This window comes from Homo sapiens, chromosome 21 (genome assembly GCF_000001405.40).
Source record: "Homo sapiens chromosome 21, GRCh38.p14 Primary Assembly".
In the NCBI taxonomy this organism is placed as follows: domain Eukaryota; kingdom Metazoa; phylum Chordata; class Mammalia; order Primates; family Hominidae; genus Homo; species Homo sapiens.
In genome coordinates this window covers 15,765,547-15,789,856 of record NC_000021.9, presented here as the reverse complement: position 1 = coordinate 15,789,856, position 24,310 = coordinate 15,765,547, and the positions used below count along the sequence as shown (strand labels likewise).

Here is a 24,310-nt window from a genome sequence, read left to right as displayed (position 1 = left end):
TATTTAACTTTTTATTGACTTTTATAAATGGCAGTATTCTCATTTGAAAATTTTGTTCCTTTTGTAATATATATGTATATTTAGACGTTGAGATACAGCAAACTTATTTGTATCTTGGTAGTCAGAAATAAATAGACTAAAACATGGAATAAGTTCTGGGAAAGGCAGATAAAAACGATACCATAAAACAAATAGTACCAGTGATCCTATATAAGAGATAGAAGAGGTACCCAGCAATTGACTAGTACCAGTGCAGACAGACAATATGTAAAAAGAGGATTCTACAGCATATTCTAAAATATAAACTGCTCAAAAGTCTAAAAGAACCAGACGTAATCCTGAATCTATAGCATATGAACATCTGTCGTTATATTTAACTACTAATTATAACAAGAAACAAATCCTTCTTAATAATGTCAACAGAGCAGATCACACATATCACAATAAGCAGGAAATGGTTCATACATACATCAGCTACAGAAAACTTGAGGACATCTGATTTCTGCACAATACACCCTAAGTACATTTTTCACATTCCAGATCTGGGCTAAGATTACTAAACCCCAGGAAGGTCTTTTGAAATGTTTTAAGTATAGTCAATTCCTTTACGCCCGTCTTCTGCTCTACCAAAAAATATACACCACTTGATTGGCATGTTTACATACAAAATATTTAATGTAAACATCACATTGATATACTGAGATAATGTAAGCTTTTTAGTTCCTTTGCCTTCTCTCTCCCCACACAGGACTTGCAAGAATGTGTGGCCTCAAATGTACTTTCTAGGAGCAAGTAAAGCCTGAACCATTTGTCACACCATTCCAAAAAGGAAGTTGGAAGGGCAAGAAAGTTAGGGATACGAACCAAGACAACATCTTCCCAGCACTCCTATATAACTTTCTTTGCAGAGATCAAATGAGGCACAAAGTGTAACAACTTTGATTAAAGTTCAAGAGATACATGTAATTGATGATTGCTCCTCAAAGTCACCTAAGATTTAAAAATAATAGCCATTTCCCAAGTAGCTCAATTCAGTCATATGGTAGATATTGTCATTCACTGTTAACAAAAGTATGGGTTTTAAAGAAATGGGTTTATCACAATACACCTTAACCATACCACATGGTAGAATTGTGGTGCAAAAAAAAAGCATGTAGGTGAAAGGGGAATGCCATGATTTCCTGACCCTCTTAATTTAAACATATTTTATCACCAGAATTTTACAGCATGCCTCAGTAGGTCTCCTCCTACCATCTCCTCTTGGTTCCTAAAGAACTTAATAAACACACTTAACACTGTGCCAAAAATATCAACCAGTGTCTCCAATCAGTGTCTGAAAAGTAGAAACAAGAATTTGCTTTACCTCTAGAGCAAACATTATAAATGAGTGATAAACACGTTTTTAAAGTAAATGGATGATGAAGATATTAAATGCTGCTACTTCTTGGTTATTGATTGACTGACTGATTGCAAAAGCCAATCTCTAGCTCCAATACTGCTCTATTGCTCCACCTGATCCCCTTCTATAATCTAGTACTGGCACCATAAATCCAAACTTTTTATAAAGCAAAATCCTGCATAAGGGTTCCTCCCCTGGCCTTTCCAATGATACTACCCAAGCTCTTAAGTATAAGACATGCAGTGGCTAAAATCCAGGTATTACCAGCTGGTAGAGGAGAAAAAAAAAAGGCAAATTTCAGAGATAGCCTATAACAAAATGTTTGAAGGGTAAACTCGCAAGCCACATACCAAAAACGAGTCTGACCTATCACCTTGCTTTATCTTCTCAAAATTGGTCATGACCTTGGTAGTAAGCAATATAAAAAGACGACAAAATGTTTTGCTGCGTCTTTTCCTTCCACACACTACGCTAAATGTTTAAAGCATTTACATATGGTAGATCATCATGTTTCCATTAAATTTTATTACACGGTGGTTTTACTTGGGGGGGGGGTGAGGGGGTGTTATTATTTTATTGTTTTTGTGTTGTTAAATTGCCTATAGCAGTAATACTGAAAATATCCCACTTCATAGCTCACCTAAGCCCCTTTTTGGGAAGTATTACACTCACTGAGAAACATGCATACACTTTAAGCTGTATAGATCAACTACAAAGAAAAAAAAAGGGGGCGGCGGGTAATGAAACATCTCATTTGATTTCCTAAAAAAGCAAAAACAAAACTAACGGTATTTTTAATTGGGATCAAACTAAACCCATAAATCAATTTAAGAAGAACCGACCAGTTTAACAATGGTCTTCCAATTCATGAAACAGCGAATGTTTCAAAATATTTATGTATTCTTTAATGTGTCTTAATGATATTTAATCATTTTCTTCCTGGAAGTTCTTGTACATTTCTTAGATTTACTCCAGTTAACAGTTTTTGTCAAAAATCAGTTGGCTGTAGGTGTGTCCATTTCTGGGCTCTCTATTTTGTTCCACTGGTCTATGTGTCTGTTTTTTACACCAATATCATTGTTTTGGTTACTATATTCTAGCAGTACATTTGGAAGTCAAGTAGTGATGCCTCTACCTTTTGTTCCTTTTGTTCAGGCTTGCTTTGGCTATTTGGGCTCTCTTGTGGTTCCACATGAATTTTTGGGATTGTCTTTTCTAATTCTCTGAAGGGTCACTGGAATTTTTACATGGACTGCAGTAAGTCTGGAGATGACTTCAGGTAGTATGGCCATTTTAACATTAATTCTTCTAATCCATGAACATACGATCTACTTCCATTTGTTTGTGTCTTATATTTCTTTCCTCAATGTTTTATAGCTTTCAGTGTAGAGATCTTTTATCTCTTTGGTTAAGTTTATTCTTAGGTATCTAGATTTTTTGTAGCTCTTGTAAATGAAATTGTTTTCTTATTTTTTCAAATAACTCACCGTTAGCATATAGAAGTGCTGATTTTTGTGTGTTAATTTTGTGTCCTACACTTTTACTGAATTCACTTATGAGTTGTAGCAGTTTTTTGGTGAACTCTTTAGGGCTTTCTATATTTAAGATCATATCATCTGGAAACAGAGACAATTTTACTTTCTCCTTTCCAATTTTGATGTCTTTTATTTCTTTCCCCTGCCTAACTGCTCTAAGACTTCCAGTACTATGTTGAATAGGATTGGTGGAAGTGGGCATCTTTGTTAGGTTCTTGATCTTAGTGGAAAAGCTTTCATTTTTTTCTGCATTCAGTATACTACTAGCTGTGGGTTTCTCAACTATGGTCTTTACCGTGTTGAGGTACATACTTTCTATATCTATTTTGAGAGTTTTTATCATGAAGGGATGTTAAACTTTGTAATGTGCTTTTTTCTGTATCTACTGAAATTATATGGTTTCCGTTCTCTTTGTTACTGTGATGTATCGCATTTATTGATTTGTGTATGTTGAACCATCCCTCCATCTCTGGGATGAATCTCGATCATAGTGGATGATGTTTTTAATATGCCGTTGAATCGGACGTGCTAGAATCTTGTTGAGAATTTCTGCATCTAGGTTGATCAGGGATATTGGCCTGTTTCTTTTTGTTGTGTCCTTGTCTAGTTTTTGAATCAGGGTAATGCTGGCCTCATAAAATGAGTTTGGAAGTATTCCCTCCTCTTTAATTTTCTGGAATAGTTTGAGAATTAATATTAGTTGTTCCTTAAATGTTTGACACACTTCAGCAATGTAGCCATCAGAAACTAGGGATCTTTATGTCAGGCTTTAGCAGTTATTCAATTCTCCCACTCGTTGTGGTCTGCTTATTTTTTCCATTTCTTCTCAATTTAATCTTGGTAGGTTGTGTGTGTTCAAGAATTTATCCATTTTTCCTATATTCTAGAATTTGTTGGTATACAGTTGTTCATAATAGTCTCTTGTGATCCTCCAATTCTGTGATACATTTGTAATGTTTCATTTTTCATGTCTGGTTTTATTTATTCGAGTCTTTTTTTTTTTCCTTTTTTCTTAGTCTAGCTAAAGGTTTGTTGATTCTGTTTATCTTCTCAAAAAAATTTCACTGATCTTTTGAATTGCTCTTTTAGTCTCTATTTGTTTACTTCTGCTCTAAGCTTTATTATTTCCATCCTACCAATTTTGGGTTTAATTTGTTCTTGCTTTTCAGGTTTCTCTGAGTTGCACAGTTAATCTGTTTATTAGAAATCTTTCCTCATTTCTGATGCAGGCATTTATTGCCATGAACTTCTAGAACAGGTTTCACTGTGTCCCACAGGTTTTTGTATGTGTTTCCACGCTCCTTTGTCCCAGGGAACTTTCTAATTACCCTTTTAATTTCTTCACTGACCCATTGGTTATTAAGGTGCATATTAACTTCCATGTATTTGTTGGTTTCTAACGTTTTTCTTGTTGTTGATTTCTAGCTTTATATAGTTGTGATCTGGTAAAATACTTGATACCATCTCTAACATACGATCTTTACTGGAGAATATTCCATGCACAGTTGAAAAGAATGTGTATTCTGCGGCTGTTCATGTTCTGTAAATGTCCATGGTGTAGTTTAAGTCTCATGTTTCTAAATCATTTGTCTACTGTTAAAAGTGGGATGCTGAAGTCCCTACTATTGTTGTACTGGAGTCTATTTCCCCCTTTAAATCTAATAATATTTGCTTTATATATTTGGATGTTCTGGTGTTCGGTGCTTATATATTTACAGTTTTGCTTCTTGGTGAATTGATTATTTTATTATTACATAATGACTTTGTCTCTTTTTACAGTTTTTGACTTAAAGTCTATTGTATCTAGTACAAGTATGGCTGCTTCTGCTCATTTTTGGTTTGAATTTGCATGGGATATCTTTGTCCATTCCTTCACTTTCAGTCTATGTTTATATTTAATGATGAGGTGTGTCTCTTGTAGGCAACATACAGTTGGGTCTTTTTTTTTTTCAATCCATCCAGCTGCTCTATATTTTTTAATTGGGGAATTTAATCCACTTACATTCAAGGTTACTACTGATAAGTAATAATTTACTCATGCTAGTTTGTTTTCTCAATATTATGAAGATTCCTCGTTTGATTCTTTCCCTCTTGTTTACTTCTGTGGTTTGGTGGTTTTCTATAATGCTAAGCTTTGTTTCCTTTCTTGTTTGTCTATCTACTATAATTTTTCTTGTGGTTACCATGGAGCTAACATGAAGAGTCTTACAGTTACAACAGACTATTTTAAGCTAATAACAACTTAACTTTGGTCACACAAAAATAATCTAGACTTTTTCCCCTCACTCCCCTACCCCACCATGATTAGTGTTTTGATTGCTGTAATTTACATCTTTATCTTTTTTTTTTTGAAACAGAGTTTCGCTCTTGTTGCCCAAGCTGGAGTCCAATGGCGTGATCTCGGCTCACCACAACCTCCACCTCCCGGGTTCAAGCAATTCTCCTGTCTCAGCCACCCGAGTAGCTTGGATTACAGGCATGCACCACCATGCTCAGCTAATTTTGTATTTTTAGTGGAGACGGGGTTTCTCCACGTTCATCAGGCTGGTCTCAAACTCCTGACCTCAGATGATCCGCCAGCCTCAGCCTCCGAAAGTGCTGGCATTACAGGCGTGAGCCACCACGCCCAGCCACATCTTTATCTTTCATGTGTTCCTTAGCCACTAATTGTAGCTGTTGATATTTCTGACATTTTTAACTTTAAACCTTCATATTAGAGGACGGAAGGAATTACACAGCACCATTACAGCACTGGGGTATTCTGAATATGATTATGGATTTACCTATATTGATGAGTTTTGTATTTTCACATATTTTCATGGTATTAATCATTCTTTCATTTCCTATTATTTCCTCTAAGTGTTTTTGTAGGACCAGTCCAGTGGTGATGAATTCCATCACCTTTGCTTGTCTGGAAACGTCTCTATTTCTTTTTCTTTTCTTTATTTTTTTTGAGACGGAGTCTCGCTCTGTCGCCCAGGCTGGAGTGCAGTGGCGCGATCTCGGCTCACTGCAAGCTCCGCCTCCTGGGTTCACGCCATTCTCCTGCCTCAGCCTCCCAAGTAGCTGAGACTACCGGCACCCACCACCATGCCTGGCTAATTTTTTGTATTTTTTTTTTTTTTTTTTAGTACAGACGGGGTTTCACCATGTTAACCAAGATGGTCTCGATCTCCTGACCTCGTGATCTGCCTGCTTTGGCCTCCCAAAGTGCTGAGATTACAGGCATCAGCCACTGCGCCCGGCCCTTCTTTTTCATTTCTTAAGGATAGCACTGCCGGATATATTCTCTGCTGACAGTTTTTATTTTTATATTTTATTTTTATTTTTTCCCAGCACTGTGAATATGTCATCCCACTCTCTCCTGTCTTGTGCAGTCTCTGCTGAGAAATGTACTGACAGTCTAATGGGAATTCCCATATATGTGACGTAATGTTTTTGTCTTACAGCTTTTAGAATTGTGTACCTTTGAGAGGATTTTGAGGGGCTGAATTTTATTGGGGATCTTTTCATTCCTAGATGTCCATAACTTCCAAGACTTCCTTCCAAGAAGTGCAGAAGGACACAGGCAATCTATTTAACCAAATGGGTGGTCTATGCCTCTCTTCACTTATTCTTTCTCTGGCACTCCCATAATATGAATATAGGTTTGCTTAATGGTGTCTGATAAGTCCTATGGGCTTTCTTCATACTTTGTTATTCTTTTTTTTTTTTCTTCTTCTGAATGGGTTATTTCAAACGATCTGTCTTCAAGTTCAGAAATGTATTATTCTGCATGTTCTAGTCTGTTACTGTGGCTCTCAATTGTATTTTTTTTAATTTCATTCACTTAATTCCTCAAGCTCCAAGATTCCTGTTTTGTTCCTTTCCATAATATCTATCTTTGTTCAATTTCTCACTCAGCTAATGAATTTATTAATTTCGTTAAATTGTTGTATTCTCTTACAACTCAAAAGTTTCTTTAATGTCATTATTTTGAATTATTTTTCATGCATTTCATAAATATTCTTTTCTTTGGATTCCATTACTAAAGATGCATTGTGGTGCCAGGTTTGGGGGTGACACGTTTCCTTGCTTTTTCATGATTCTTCTGTCTCTATGTTGGTACCTGTGCATGTAATGGACAATTGCTTTTTCCAATTTTAACGAGCAGCTTTCATAGGAAGAGGTTTTTTCCTGTTGATGGGTCCTAGGGTGCTGATTGGAAATGGCGTGTGGTGGCTTTGGTTCAGGGTGGACTCAGTATTGTGGTGTCCAAACAGATTATTCAGCTGGAATCCTCACCTGCGATGTCCGTGATTATCTCAGTGACTTAGTATGCAGAAGCCCATGACTGTGGTGGCATGGTTTTTCTGGAGTTGGCACCAAGCTGGTTGCTGGTCAGGCACATGCTGATGCAGCAGGCCAGAAAGGTTGTACGACTGTCTCTCCTGAATGGCAGCAGGGTTACTGCTGGGCTGGCTATCAGGCCAGGGGTGGATGCACACAGGTCTGGAGGCTGTGCATGACTCTGGTGATGTAGGGTTGAGCTGCGGAAAGAGTGCCTCCAAACCAGCTATTGGACTAAAGGCAGGAAATTGTGGCCCGGCAGCTGTGCACAATCCTCCAGTGGTACAGGCAGACAACCTCTGGGCCAGCTATTCAAGCTGGGAGCAAGTTCACACAGGCCCACTGGCTGTATACTACTCTCTCCCTTGGGGTGGGGCCACCTCCAGGCCAGCTAGAGCCAGGGACAGATGTACACTAGCCTGGTGGCCGCATGGGGCTGCCCGGCCATGCAGGCCCACCTGCTTCCCTGGGTAATAGGGAGCCTTGTGGGTTTAGGTATCAGGGCCCCAGTTGTGCCTTTGAGCCTAGGCTCCAAGTAGCCAAGGTATTAGTGCTAGAGGCACTTGTGTGAACTTTGTGGAATGAGGGCAATGCCTCTGGGATACAGGGTGGCTACTGGCCTCCAGGTCAGGAAGCACTCCAGATGTGGGCTTGGTTTCACAGTTGTGTCATCCCTTAGCTGCTTGGATTGCAGGGGTGCAGGGTGTCAAAGAGGTTCCTGCTGTGGGGGAATGTAGCCACATGCACTTTCAGCAACTGTTCATGCTGGACTTGGGACCTGTGAGGACTGGGGAACTCTCTTGTAGCAGTGACTGCTGGCACCTGTGGTGGTGATGAGGACTGATGATTCTCCGCTTACCTTCTTCCTATAAGAAGAGGAACCCCCTGGCTTTGATTCAATCCTCGCAGGGGAGACAGTATGGCAGAGGCAGGATACTTTGGTCTCCTCCCTGTGGAGCTATTCTTGACTCTATGCTCCACAGGGACTTTGCTGTTCTCTTGGTACTCTCCAGGGCATTTCCTCAGTCACTCCAGACAAAATAAACTTATTCGTTGTTTTGGTTCCTTTTTTGTGAGGGAAATGATAGCCAAGCAACTCTAGTTGGCGATCTTGCTGACATCACTTCCCATCAGTCTTTTTAATTTTAGCCATTGTGATGGATGAGTGCTCTAATGTGTTCTTCAATGAGATGAACAGAATAAAGCTTTTGATCAAACTTGCACAACCCAGATCACCACCACTGCCACAATCACAATACCCAAAATGGAATCACATCCACAATCGTATACAGAGTACAAATTAAGGAACTCTACGTTTCTAACACAGAAGCTACCACTACTTGTCAGACATGTGATTCCTACCAAAAGTTGACCTGTGTATCTGGCCGTAGGAGAGCCCACATTGCATGGGGTGTGGCTCCTGCCACACGGACAGCCTGACTACATCGACCAGTTGATCCCTCTTCCTGGGGATATCAGTGGTACCTCACTGTTGCTGATACTTTTTCAAGTTACACTGCTGCTGTTCATCAGTCACCTGCAGCCACAACCTTGTAGCCCAGGAAACTAATCTGTGTCATATTTCTTACTTTTCCAGATCATCTATAATCTGACATAACACACCTTAAATGGTTTGATGGTTATTCGATGGCCCTTCCATGCTCCTTAGCATCCACAAGTATCTGGAATTATTGAGCACCGAAATCCTCCTCAAAGATCAATTTTAAAAGATTTCTAACTCTGCCTCCCTCATCCACTCCTGTTTCACACACCATCTTTAGACAGTTCCCCTTCACAGCTGCTTCCTCAGTAATGATAAGGATAAAAAATGTAGGAGTTATACAGACCTATTTTAATAATTCAGAATTCCACCCTGACTATTCCTGGACATGATCCTTCTTTCTTTCCCCAATGGCAACTCCAGGCTGAAGATAACAAGAAATAACTAGTTGAAACACAGAAGTAATGAGGAAAAAAAGAATCTGTAGTCTACTACTTCTTGAAATTGTTGAAGGTGCGTGCTCTTTGTAACAATTTTAGCTAGAAAACTTAGCACTATCTTCTAATGAGGCACTTCAAAGTTATTTCATGAGGCAAGCCATTTTCACAAGAAATATGCCATAGACACAAACCAGTCACAATGTAGTTTATTAACAAATTTCAACTGTCCATACTCCACTTGTGTCCTGGCAGTGATAATCAAGAGATAATAAATACACCCAATTCTGACACTAAAAAGTGTATAAAGAAATACTTTAAAAACGTTCTACTTAAAAAATTTTAGCATGAAACGTATAAATGCCTAAACACAGGATTCTAAGACGTAAAAAGACAGGCTTTATCTCATCAAATTACACACAATGTAGTATCCTAATGTGTAACTTCACATTAAATTATGTCTACTAAAATATAATAAGCAAATGATTCTGGAATTTTATTTGCAAAGATTTTCCCTATATCAACTTCAGTAATGAAGAAGGAGTTAATTTACTTTTAAGCATAATATATAAATGTCTTCCTTTAAAATGCATCATTTTCTCTTTTGAATTTAGAGTTCTATACCTTAATAAACCCATATGAGCAAATATATCTCTGATAATGTTTAGCTAGAACTCTCCACATCCTCTTTTCCTAATACAATATGATTTACATATAAGTTTATTAAATGCATATTTTGCATTGAACACCCATTTGCTCATTGCGGGTTATTGAATTTACACATAATTAATATGACTCTTTTACTTCTAGGGAGCATAGCTTTATGGCATGTTACATTATGCCGAATCTCTATGTCATCTACAATAATAATATCTACCAAATATTTACTATTTTTAAATTATATTAAAATGTAAAAGACCTAGAATGAAAAAACAGCATTATCTGAAGAGATTTTCTTTTGCCATTTTGGATAAAAACAACTATCCAAAACAATAATATAACATATACATTGAACTGAATATCAAATTAGGAACAGCCTTCATCCCTTTTTATATTACCTTACTTTTATTATATAATTAGTACCTGTTGTTTTAATTAGAAAACACATAATAGAACGACTGATACTAATTGGGTATATAAGCTCACATATATTTTATATTCATATACTCATATAAATTCATATAAACAAAAATATAATTTTAAAAATAATATTTGTATCAAGTATACATTCTTTTTATAACCCTTTTCACATAAAACCATGCCCCTTACATATGAAATCCAACTCATGTGTTTTGTATTTAAAATATTTCTCAAAGTTTAAGTATTGTTGTTTCATAATTATTCAAGACAATTATGCATTGCAATACACGTTTTAAAAAGAAAAAGCCCAATTCATATAATTTCTCAAATGCTTCAGAAAATAAGCCTAACTACGTATTTTTTGGTTTTCATTTAAAGTTCCTGGCAATAAATATTAGCCACAACTAATGAGGGGGACAATAGAGTTTAATTAAGTCTTTACATAATATAATGTCTTACAAAGTAGTTTCCAAAGTAACATTTAAAGACATTAAAAAGTCGCACTAAGATAAAAAATTATATGCCTTTGCTAAACATAGCATTTTGAAACATTTCCTACCATATAGTAATCTCTGATTATTTGGAAAGAAATCTCCTATTGATATTGTGCCAAGAAAAATTACCTGAGAAATTTGGTACATTCTGTTACCAAAGGACTATGTTAAAGGAAAAGAACATTTAAGTCTTAAGATGCATCTGAGCTGTGTGCCTTTGGAAAAAGCACATTTAACCTCTTGCAAGTAAATTTCTTCTTCAGTAACATAGAGTTACCACTGCCTTCAAATAGTTGTTTAGAGGATTACAGTTAGTTACAACTTTATGGCTTATTAAATTATTATATCTCCATTTTTAGAGGTATTATGAAAACCAAATGTATTTTTTAGTCCTTAGATGAATCAAACTGTTTCAAACTACAAAGTTTTGGTTATTAAATGAAAAACTGCATTCTAGCACACATCTTGGAGCCCTGCCCATTTATTTGAACAATATATATAAACATATTATCATGCTATAGATCAGAAGTCAGCAAACCACAGCCGAGAGGACAAAACCAACTGGCTGCCTTTGTAAATCAAGATTTATTAGGATACAGCCAAGCTCATTATATTATTTATCAGCTATAGCTGCTTTTGCGTTATGACACCAGAGCTGAATAGCTATAACAGAAACCCTATAGCCAACAAAGCCAAAAATATTTACTATTAGCCCTTTACAGAAAAAGGATGCTGACCCTTGCTATAAATTGTTGCAAATTGGACAGTGCATCCAAAAAAGATTAGGGGAAGAAAAAAAATGAAAGAAATATTAAAATATGCACCTAAATGTAATCCCTCATAACACCATCCCAAAATCTTAAAAATCTAAACCCAATTGCAATCAAAACTAAATATGAAGATTTTGGTTACATAAAATTTAAAAATACACAAGCATATTACTAGTTTAGAGTAACAAAGTATATCTTATTACCTCTTAAAATTAATTTAACCCAATTAATGATTTCTATTTTTAAAAGTACTTATATCTGCTTTATACAAATTATGTTTTTACCTGCTAATGGCTTGTTCCTCATCAGTTATTCCAGTCTCCCTGAATGCCCTGTTTGATTCGGCCAAACTCAAGGCAATTGCTCTCTGAAGATCATCTTTATCATCTCCAGTGAGATCAATCACATCTGAAAAGCAAAACTATCTTTCTCAAAATTAAAAGTAAAACAAAATGAAAGGATTTTTATTATGGAGATTTTATATCCAATATACTCTTTAAACCAGTCAGTACCAACTAATTTTGTATTTCTAAAAGCCTATCTAAAAATAAATGCAAACATATTTTTAACTGGTCATACTCAGTAACTCAATGATTTTTTTGATAAAATATACCTAAAGCAGTAAGCAGAAATATATTTCACTGTAGAAGAATCTCTGTATTTACTATGAGGTCTCTTATTAAAAGCTAATAAGCAGAAAGACTGCTGAGAATGGTTTATCAACAAAAATTGAAATCAATACAATTAAACATTGACATTTCTGCTTTCTGAAGTTAACCCGATTACATACGTATTAAATTCTGTCCATACTACTACCATCTAGACATTATCAAATTACAATAATTAACAGTGAACTCTTAAAAACTGATGTTTCAGAAACTAACCAGAGATGTACATTTACACATACATTTTTTAAATTCTGAAAGAATGTGCCAAACTATTAACAGTGGTTAACTCTGAGGAAAGGAGTTATAGGAGGAAGAAGTATAAGAATCTTTCACTTTCTATTTAAATACTTCTATACAATCTGAATTGCTTAATAAATATGCAGTCCTTTTAATTTAAAACAAGATTCTCATTTCACAAAAATGAAATATACAAGTGAATGAAACAAGCCCTCTTCTAATAAAAAATAGCCTTGATGCTATTAAGTATTAATTCTTTTTCCAAAAAAGGTTACAACTAATACCGCCTTCAATAAAAATGACTTTTAATCCAATTTCCCAATATATATTGGTCAATTTCCCTAACCCAGATGATGCCAATGATAAATACTCCCATTATCATTTCAACAGTGATAGAAACCATGGTATATTGCTAAGTAGGGAAGTGGTAACAGGTTACAAAATAATATGATCAGAAAGAGAAACTATCTGTTATTATCTTTGCATGGTTGGGATTATGCTTATTTGTATTTTGGACACGTTTTGCCTTCATTTTAGTTATTTGCTTATTTTAAATTTTATTTTTTAGAGACAGTGTCTCACTGTGTCACCCAGGCTAGAGGGCAGTGGCATGATCACAGCTCACTGCAATCTCAAACTCCTGAGCTCCAGTGATCCTCCCGCCCCAACCTCCAGAGTAGCTAGGACTACAGGCATGCACCACTTGGCTAATTTTCTTTTTAATTTTTTGTAGATACAAGGTTTTGCGTCTTGCCCAGGTTGGTGTATTTTAGACATGTTAAAAATATTTTCTTTGTAATCATACAATTTTAGAAGAGGAAAAAAAAAACAAACAGGATAGAGGATGGGGAGGATAAGGTGGCTTTATTTTACCATATGGCTATAAGGTTTTACATAAATACTAGAAAAGCATATTATATATTTAATGAAAAAAAGTAATGTATATTGATATTTTCCAGAGTCTACTTCTATTTTTATCCACACGTTCTCCAAATAGTAGCTTGTAAGAAGATTTAAAATATGAGAAAGAATACCTGATCATGGAAGGAAGTGGTGGTGTTTTTTTTAATGTCTTTAGAGAGTATAATAAAACCTCACAAAAGTGTATTAAGTAGGGCCCCCCAAAAATACAGGCAAGTAAAATGTGAAAGATTTATATAGCATAGTAATTGAAATGGTGAATCACTTTACAGGCAACAGCAGGCCAAAGGTTTTACAAGTCTGGTTACAAAATCCAAGTCCACCCAGACCACAGCTGAAGATGAGTGTAACCCAGAACTGAACATTCATAAACACTGATGAAGCAGTGAGGATTAAAAAGGTATGGAATGCCTCATAAAAATGAAAGCTATCTTGGTTATTAAAATGGCTAGAACTTAGGTCTAAGTAGAGAAAGGATAATGAAAAGTGGAAAAAATTTGAAAATCACAGAGAAGCAGAAAAACAGGGTTTAGGTGTGTGATTAATTAGCGGTCAGATTCCATTAACTCGTTCTCTTAAGTTTACTTTCTTCAATTATAGAAACTAAACATAAAAAAAAACAGAAAAACTATCTTCCTTATTCACTGGCAGTTAGGGTTTTGGATGAAACTTAGGCCTCATCCATTAGAATGCACTAACACGAGACATGGAAGGCAGAGTGCAGCGGGGGCGGGGGGGGGGGGGGGTGGCAACCATTATCCTGTTGCCTTTGGCTGTTTTCTCTAGCTTGATTGAAAAGATTTAAGTTGTTCCACAGTATTCCAGGCTCCAATTTCCAGCTTTAAGAATGTCAAGAGATGGAATATAAGCGGCAACTAGACTTTGCATTCCAATTTCCAGGCATAGCTCAGAGGCAGTACCTAATCCTGGCTTCCTGTTTCCTGGGCTGCAGCTATAGAAGTATGTTCTTGAACTCAGTAGTCCAAGAGGCCGCTTTCCTAATTGTGACAGAAGTAGCCGCTTCCCTGACTGGTCGCTTCCCTGACTGGTCAGTCCTGCAATGATGTGGGAGTCATTTCAGAAGTCTGAGCTAGAGCTTTCCTCCAGTCCTTCCAGTGATTTTTTAAAGAACCTAATCCCCTGTATTAAATTCCTTATTTGAAAATTTCTAGAATGTTTACTGTATCATGACTGACAAGTAAAACAAATGGGCTATAGCCGAAACTAATTTAAAAATAGCAACAACTTACACTTACAGCTTTTCCTAATTCATCAATTGTAATTCAAGCAACAAAAAAGCAAAAAACAAGATGTTTTTTCCCCAAATATATTTTATAAATGAAATCACTGAAATTCTGAGAAATGAAGCACATCATAAGACGCGAGAATGGTGCACAGGCTTCAAAATTTAAGTCTTCTAACTCTTAAATCCAGTGGTCTTTCTGCCTTACTAGCAGTTCTTCAAATATGGTCCATTGATCCTTGGGGTCCCCAGGGCCCCTTTGAAAAAAGGGAGGAAAGTCCTTAAATAAAAAAATAATACTACTCAGATATTATTTGCCTTTTGTACTGTAGCCACATTTGCACCAATGATGCAAAACGATATTGAATAAAACTGCTGCATCTTAGCACAAATCAAGGCAGCAGCACCAAGTTGCATAATTCATTGTATTAGTCACAAATATACACACTCACTGTTTTAAACAGAAGCCAAGCCAGTTTCTTTTAGAATTATGTTCTTGGCGAAAAGATTAAACCTAATTTTATTAAACCTCAAACCTTGATTTATGTTTAATTCTAACATAAGAAGTACACATAAAGTACTTCTGCGATATATCCAGAGTATGCTGTTGCTAACAACTAGTGTAAAATGAGTTACAAGCTAAACTGATTTTTCCCATGGAATGCAATTTTTATTTAAAAGAAAAACTAACAAACTACAAACTAGAATTATTCAGACTTCAGTATTTGGCAGATGTTGTCTGGAAAAAAAAAAGTGAGCCTGTTGCTTTAAGGAAAACAAATGTATCTGTTGACAATGATTAATATGGAATTTTCAAGCAAAAATCTAAACTTTGAAAAACTTGTTTCTACCACTGTGAGCTTGATATCTTCTCAATACTTAAAGGCTTGTATATGAGTGGTGATATTAACAAATTCAACTTTTTCTTATAGTAGACATTCTTCAAGCATTTAAAAAGAAATCTTTTCAAATTACCAATGCACAGTGTTACAAACTCATGCATGGGTAAAAGATCCATCCAAAAAGCAAGAAACACTAATGGATTTTAATGCAACATAACATGAAAAGGTTGTTGATACCACCATAGAATAACTGATGTGATTTCGAATTCCACATTGCAACTAATCTTTAAGAAATTACCATCTGTTAAGTTTGGGTATAGCATTAAAAAGAATATCCATTATTATCTGATTATCAGTTAAAATACTCCTCCCTTTTCTAAATTATTATCTGGGTAAAGCCAGATTTTCTTCACAAACTTCAACCAAAACAACTTATTGCAATAGAATGCAAACCTTCAGAAGCACATTGGAGACTCTAGTTCTCCTCTAATATGGCAGACATTCAAGACTTGCAACAATGTAAAGCAACGTAATCTTCTAACCATTTTGTTTCAGCAAATGTGTTTTTCATAAAATATGTTATTCAAACATAATAGACTGACATTTTAATATGAACTAATAGCCTAAGCTTTTCTCCGTTTTAATTTCTAAAATAGTAAATTTTATGTACCCAAAAGCTCTGAGGTTCTCAATAATTTTTATGAGTGTAAAGGGGTCCTGAGAGCAAAAATAACAAGAATCACCATCTACTCCATGTTCTTAGACATGTTTTTTATGAAACAAATCATAATTGAAAATGGTTTTCTTTGGTTTTTACAATGTCATTCAAAATTTTTTGAAATAACTGGCAAAAGATAAAGATTAGGAGATTGTATGTGTACAATAATAGGTATTACTTCCCTCACGCTCTGGGAGGAAAAAAAAAAACCAGAAGACCTGGTTACACGATTCCTGCATGGCAATAATCATTGTGACAAAGCCAGAGTGTAATAAAAGTAGTAGTAGCAGCTCTCTTTAGATAGAATATTCACTCTTCATTTTGCCCCCGCCCCCAACTTGGCCAGCCACACACATTCACATTACCTTCCTTGCCCTTGCATCCTCGCATATCTTGTACCTCACATGGGTGTAAAAGAATAAAGCTGCTTGTGGCTAGAACGACCATATTAAATGGCTCCAGCCACTCCAGGCATCTCCAATAGCGGAGGGTTCAGCATATAGGCACACCTGTACCCCAGCTGGGAATTTGAGCCTCCAATCCCTGGTATAGAGGAATAGTAGTCCTTAATGCTGGAAAAGTTGGTTGAGACCAGAGACTAACAATCCTTAACTGAAAAGCTGGGACTTTTTCCTTTAAGCAATGGAGGAGGTTTACTTATTATTTTAATTTCATTGTAATTGTAACAATTTTCTTCCATGATCTTCCTATTAATCCATAAAACTGCTTCTTTTCACAGGGTATTTTAGAACAATATGACAATCCTGAAAGATAGCTGAATCCTGAAAGATCCCTCACATACGGTCCACACATACAATCCTGAAAGATGCCTCACATATCAAATGCAATCCTGAAAGATACCTCACATACCAAATTCACATGATTTTAAGACCAGTAAAAGAAAATAAAATGTTATTTCAACAGACTGGTTAAACCCAATTTATTCTTTTTCTGGACTTAGTGGAATAATGATTTGTGTAAAACATGTAACGAATTATCAATTTATAATAAAAACTAGCGCTCAGATATTCTCACATGCTTACAAAAGAAACAGAATAACTTTGGCTATAAACAACTTCTAACTGGTAAAAGTCAGTTACAGAAAATTAGCCTTTGTAAAACTTCCATCTCAATGCCAGAGCATTATTAATATTCTCATATCTGTGTCAAGGCAAGACCTTGGTAAAACACTAAAAACATTATTTTTAACCAACTCTCCCTCTAGTATTAGCGTGAATACAATTCAACAGCACACACATGGGAACAGTTAGCTGGGTGCCACTGTATAAAATCATGTTACAAATGCATCTAAGCAGTAATCTACATTTTTATGAGAGTCCAAATTAAAACATTTTTCCTGTAAAGTGAGAAATATATATCAAAACGTGATACTCATCCTACTAAATCTTTCACTTACAAAGGAATACCATGAGTAAAACTTATACACCAACTACCAAACATTTCTCTGCTAACTCCAAAATATATGCTAGTCATCAACTTATCAATGAACTAGACTTCAAACAAAATATATGCATTGTTTATAACTCATAATTCACTTTCCCATGAAAATATTATATTAAATAGGAACGTGAATTATGTAAGTGAATCTTACTTGAACCTCAGGTTTCTAAGTAAGTTCACAAAAGCCTAGTTGGCCCATAATCTAGCTGAACTATTATATATGTAAATATTTTGAATTCAGAAGAAAAAAAGAGTTCTTCCATTGTTTTTCCTTATCTACACAGGCTAAACCAAGAGGAAATACTTTTTTTAAAAAAAATAAGCCAAGTTTATATTTACTGTCAGCAAAGATTTCTAAGCAAGGGAGTGCAAGACAGAAAAAAACTGGGTAGTGAAGAGTTTGAGAAGCGTTGCAATAAGAATATGTAGCAGGGCAGGAGTAACTGAAGGGAAAAGTCTACATACAAAAACTGACAGATCTGCAAACCAAATGGTTGTTTTGGGAGATTGACAGAAGAGCTATTAAAAGGAAAAAAAAAGAAAAAAAAAATACCCTGGACCACCAGAAGAATGGAAATACCCTTAAGAAAGAAAGGCAAATATGAACATCAGGATGTGCAGCAAGAGATCAGAAACGAGAATACTGCCATTCCTACCCTCGCTCATTCAGCTTCAACAAGGCTGTGTCCTCACTATTCATCTCGAGGGCCAGCACACTGCCCCATCAGGCCCTGGTCTGGGACGCACAACCTTCAGAGAGCCAAAAGTTCATGCTCACACTTCGCTCAGGTATCTGTACAAATACGAGCTCTTCCACACTACCTAAAATCACATATTATCCTATGCCCAGCCCACAAGCACACCCCCATCACTTGTTTGTCTATGTCCAGGTCTACTGTTCCTCAAATATGAGCTCTTCCACACTACCTAAAATCACATATTATCCTATGCCCAGCCCACAAGCACACCCCCATCACTTCTTTGTCTATATCCAGGTCTACTGTTCTTCATGAACGACTTATTACTATCTGATACTGTTTGTTTACTGTGTACTGTCTTTCCTCTATGTAAACTGAGGCTCTGCATGCTTTCTTAATGGTCTATAAAAGTACTTGCTACATATTAGACAATAAATATTTGTTAAAGAAATACAGAATAGAGATAAAAACTGGTGAGTCATCTTCATAATGGCACTAATTAGAAGATGAGAACATATCTTTTATATATTCAAAATTTTTTCAAGTGAAAGGGCAGACAGCATAGTAAGGTATCATGTTGCAAGAATCTTAAAAGCCAGAAGACATAAACAATATAAATTGTTTCCCACTCCACTCTCCCATTTTCCCTTGCTTTCAGCTTCCTTCAGATGTTCCTATTCTTTCAATATTCTCACTGTTAAACTCAGATTCTCTTAAAAGAGTGTTGTAAATTAGAACTTTCTGTGATAATGGAAATGTAGCATTATGTGCACTGATCTGGTAGCCACCAGAATTAAACATTTAAAGTGCAACTGAGAAACTGAATTTCAATATTATTTCATTTTAATTGCCATGTGTGACTAGTGGCAACTATATTGAACAGCTCAGCTTTAAATGGTCTAGTTCTGTTTTTAATAATAGCTGCTAAAATCACAGTGGCAGCAGTGGTAAGCAAGGAAAATGAGTAAGTAGTAAGGGAGTCATTCCAGAGTTTTGTCATTAATTCTACTATGTTTTTCAATTTTTATTGTGAAAAAAAGTAAAATTAATCTCCCATGTTAGTCAACAAAAGTACAAAGACCATGGCTATCATTCTAACCCAAAACTAAAGAAAATTCATCAAGTTATACAAGTCATTCTACAGTTCATATCTAATAAAATGCATCTAATCAATCTGAAGCTCCTAATTGCACCCATCAGTTGGAACTAATTTTCACACCATTTAGCATCTCAGTTTTTAGGCTTCATCTTGACTTTCTGTGAGTCATCAAAAATCGTTTTACATATTAGAAATTTCTAGGGAAAAACTGAAGTTACTTGGGCAATGGGAAAAGTATCAGTGTTCAATTAACAATATCCTAAACTGTTTAGCATAAGAGAATTATCCTAAGAATAAAAGCACTAGAATTGGATCTATTTATCACAGTTTAAATCACTATTACTGTGGCCAAGCAAGATAGCCATAACTAGAATTCTAGGATAGAACCTCAAGGTTTTTCTCCCTTTCTATGCCATCTTTTCAAATTCAAGGTGTTTTAGAAAAAAAGAAAAAAAAAACGGCTTATAAATTTTTGAAGAGTCTTACCACCTGTCACTCATTTCAAGTCTTATACCAATTTCTCTAAAACTTGAGTCAATATGTGGCATTACTTTCTGTGTTAAAATTACCTACCCAAATCCCTCTTATCTTTTGATCGCTCAATTGTAGCACATCTTGTTCTGGAGAGCATATACTGTTTTTTTCCTGTTTTAAAAATGTTCGAAAGAATTTAATGGTCACAAAATAAAAAGTATTACTATTAGACTTCAAATTGGGCAAAAGAGCTGTATGGTCATGTCTATGACAGAGTTTGCCGTGACACAAAAACTTGGCAGAATCTCTCCTCTGACTATTAATCACACCTATAATGCTCAATACCGGGTATCGTGTCCTGGTCTCATTTTCATTTGTGTTTTTGACAGCAAAACTCCAAAACAATTTTATTCTCAATTTAAGCCAGGGACAACAGGCACTCATTTGACAATCTATAATATTTGATCTGATCTGAACAGAGGTCCAAATAATAAAAAATGTTACCTAGTACGTTTGCTAATTATAGTACAAATGATTTGGGCTTTTTTCCAGAATTCAACAGAATTACAGTATGGAATGTAATCAAGTAAAGACATGAGGTGTACGACTTCTAAATTCTTTTTTATGCAGAGCACAAGATTTCTTTGATATGTCTCCTTTTTCTCTCAAAAGTGAAAGGTAAAAAGTACACCAAAAAGGCATATAATTGTCCTACTAACTATTGAAAATATATTTACTTCTTCAATATTAAAGGAAGGCTCACAAATTGTTTTTCAAATCCAGTGACATAATATAGTTTAGCCTCTGACACACCAGGTATGCATAAACAAAAATTTCTCCATATGCCCCAAATATAACTTCCATGTGATATTAGTTTAAAAACTAAATTTTTCTAGTCAGCAAAAAAAAAATTTATTCCTTCTAAAAGAAACAGTCCATTGTAAACAGTGATATTCCAGCTAATATCAACAAAGAGGTATATGTATTTGGTATTAGAGATTTCGATTTCAGAAGACAGACGTTTTGTCAGCACTGCAACCAAGTGTATCACTTAAAGTTAGCATGACTTTGTTTCTGCTTTAGCCCTGGTTTTAAGAGATTTTATACCTCAAAAAGAAGAATGGAAAAAAACTGAAAATAAAAATCCCTGCCATATTTGAAAGAATTAAGTGAAACTGTGGTCAACCTTTAAATAACAATGTATTTCACACAAAATGGAGAAAGTGCTCAAAAAGGGTTTTTATATCTACAACAATCCCTTGAAAACTCACACTCTGATCTATTCTTCTACATTCCTACAGCAGTTAGGTAGATTTTTTTAAATAGAGGCCTGCATTTGAATGTATATCCATTTGTAATTATTTTGTCTTTCCTTCCCTCATGTTTTACCACATCTTCCAAGAATTAAAAATACACGACTTCATTTCTTCTCAACAGTAACTGCACAGTCACTTAAAGAGTATTTTTTTAATACCTGCTGAAATGCATGACATCTCCCCACTTTCTCAGTTTTAAACCAGTAACACTGCATTATGACACTACTGGCAGGAATGTTTAATGGAAAAGTATTACTGTTACGCCAACAGTTAATTTTTTTCTGGTTTGATACTATCATAGTACAATTGCCACATTAAATTCCTACAACTGTTTGCTGTCAATAACCTCTAACCAACTTTATGGACACACTATCTCAATTGGCACCCTGATTAGAGGGAAAGCACTTGATACATATTACGTATTATGTGTTTTATGGATAAAGAAACCACAACAGCAAGCAATTTACTCAATATGACAATCGGTTGAGATGACATCAGAAACTTCATTTCTCTACATTATTTCAAGTGGAAAATAAAATTACCTCGTGAATATTTTTCAAGAGATCCACAAACACACAAAAAAAGTTTTAATTATCAGCAAATGAGACACGTGCCTCCTGAAATTAGGCTGCCTTCTCCCTAAGGGAACCTATTCAAAATTTTTTTTTGTCCTCCATAATATTTTCACTATTCCCTATCTAAAATCGTAAACAGGTGTAACCATTTGCCTTATGCAGTATTTTCTCACTTTGCACAGCAAATATCTTCTTTTGTGCAGGACACACATAATCCTAATTTTCCCCTTTTCTATAAATATACCATGTCATGTCACCAAGTATACCATCTATATTAAGAGTTCACAACTAACAACAATGATCTCTGTTTAGTCAATTTCCTGCTTGCTTCACTTAAACCAGGAGCATTTTAGTCAAAATTATCCTTTTCCCTTTTATCACCCATCTAGTTTCTTTTTCCCCTCGAGTCTTGGAACTTTGAAATATCCAAAATATTATTAAGTACTCATTTTTCTGACCTTTATACCACTTCTCTTTCAACTTTTTGCAACAAGCTTCTCAACTTCATTCCCTTTCATTGGTTTTGAAAGAGCTTTACTGCACATATTATCAAACATAACTCAGTGAACATTTTTTGAGCACCAATAATGTTCAAGCAAATAATTTCAAAATAACAGAGTATTCATTAAGACAGAAGCATGCCCTGGATGCTGGAGAAACACTTGGTCCTAGCTAGAGGCCAGGAAAAACATTCTCCAGCAAGCAGCTCTTTAGCTAAATCTTTCAAGACCAGAACAAATTAGGCTAGGGAGGAAAAGGCCAGAGTGCATTCAAACAGAAGGAACAGCAAATGTAAAGACAGAGAAATTAAATACCACTGAGTACATGAGAACTTCAAGCCATTCTGTATTATCACAGTGTTGAATGACAGGAGGAAAACAGTGGAAAATGAGGCTAGAAATGTGGATGGGGGCCCAGTCACAGCTTGCCTTGAACTTAGACGTTAAGTAAACAGGTCTATCTTATATATGCTACAAACATTCTCCCATCACCTATTAACTAAGTGAGACAGGAGTATTCTAGTTTTCTCTGACACAAGATCATCTATGTAGCAAAAATGCTAAGATTATCCTGAAAACTAAAAATTAAAATATTTTATCAATAAACATTAATAAACATCTATGTAAACGAACTCTTTTCTGGTTGCTTCCTAACTTTGAGAATGTCTATAAACAAAATAAGAAATTCTCTCCAAATATATGTTAATAATCAAACTTTGCAAATCCATAAGGCATAAAAGTAACTATTTTTATGTAGTACAATTATTAAACTATAATGAGATATGAAGGTAACTGAACATAGTTTGAAAAACTGTGCGCTACATAAGTATAAAGTATTCATATTATGAAGAAAAACTTAAGTCCCACATAGAATCTTCCACATGTACGTATTTGTATCTCCAAAACACTTTTTCCAAGTTTTCTTTTCTTTTTTTCTTTTGGATGAAAGGCAATTTCATTACACAATAATAAACTTCTTTGCCAAAGCTTTATTTGGAAGCAGGGGGAAAGGGAAGGGAAATTTTATTAAATGGTAAACCTATCAGTAATTAGAAATAATACTTTAACCTCAAAAGAAATACTAAAGCCTCTACCAGCACTTAAAATCTGCAAAATAACTGTGCCCACTAAAAATTCTAGTTCTTCCTTTTATGAATATATCTGCAGCTATTCCATATTTCAAAACAATAAATTCTATATGAAATGCTCTATGAAAAACTATATAACTTACATAAAATCTTTTCCTTATAATCTGAAAAAGATAATGTATGTTCCTTTCAACTACATTAAAAAGAACCAAGGTTAATAGAGTTCTTTTTTGGTTCTTTACCTCTCCTTAAGCAACATTAATATATTACACCAAGAAAAGTTTTTCAGTATGTTTCTATTAAAATAATAAGAAAAGAAAGAAAACTTACTTGTATCTGCTTGGCTTCCCACACTGATGTATCTATCATTGCCAGGAAGTGCTGTTTGGTAGTAAGTTGTCTCCTCCTGCTGAGGGGTCTTAGCATTCTTCGCAGTAAGGAAAGCCACTGCTAATTCCAAGTTTCCATTACTATCCTTCAAATATCAAGAAAGGAGTATCAAGTGTTTTGAAATAATTTTATCCATCAAAAAAAGTTATACAATATTCTCCATAACTCTCTAGAACAAAATTGCTTTAAATTTGCAATTAATCTATATGTGATTCTAATTTTATAGTGTAAATGCATCATACATAAAGTATACTATATCAATAGTAATACCTTTCTTACTAATTAAAACTACTGATACAATGTAAAAATCCATCTCTAATTTCTTAGTCTTCATTACTTTCCTATCTGCTTAATAAAAGTGAATCACAAACTTATACTTTTGAACAAATAAACTAAAAAAGGTCTTCTGGAACTTGCCATACGAAAGAGTGCAAAATGGGTATTAAAATTAGTACTTCTACAAACAAGGACAATAAAAGATATTCCTTTTAATCTGGGTGCTGGATACATACTTAGGGGCAAACTTAAGCAAAAT

General features: G+C 35.1%; 1 protein-coding gene across 14 annotated transcripts in view; it reads right to left on the bottom strand.

Moving 5' to 3' along the window:
- The window catches only part of USP25 (ubiquitin specific peptidase 25), a 150,083-nt gene that overhangs the window by 90,208 nt on the left and 35,565 nt on the right, over positions 1-24,310 (bottom strand). For 11 of the 14 annotated variants that reach the window (NM_001352560.2, NM_001388301.1, NM_001388302.1 and 8 more), the window contains exons 3-4: positions 23,716-23,860; positions 11,830-11,953 (exon numbers count right to left, since the gene is read on the bottom strand). Coding sequence is in view for 7 of the 14 variants with exons in the window: in NM_001283041.3 (NP_001269970.1) it covers positions 11,830-11,953; positions 23,716-23,860 (269 nt within the window). In the remaining 7 variants the exon portion in view is untranslated. The remainder of the gene's footprint in view (positions 1-11,829; positions 11,954-23,715; positions 23,861-24,310) is intronic. The other 3 variants (NM_001388299.1, XM_047440745.1, NM_001352561.2) reach the window with 2 other exon arrangements.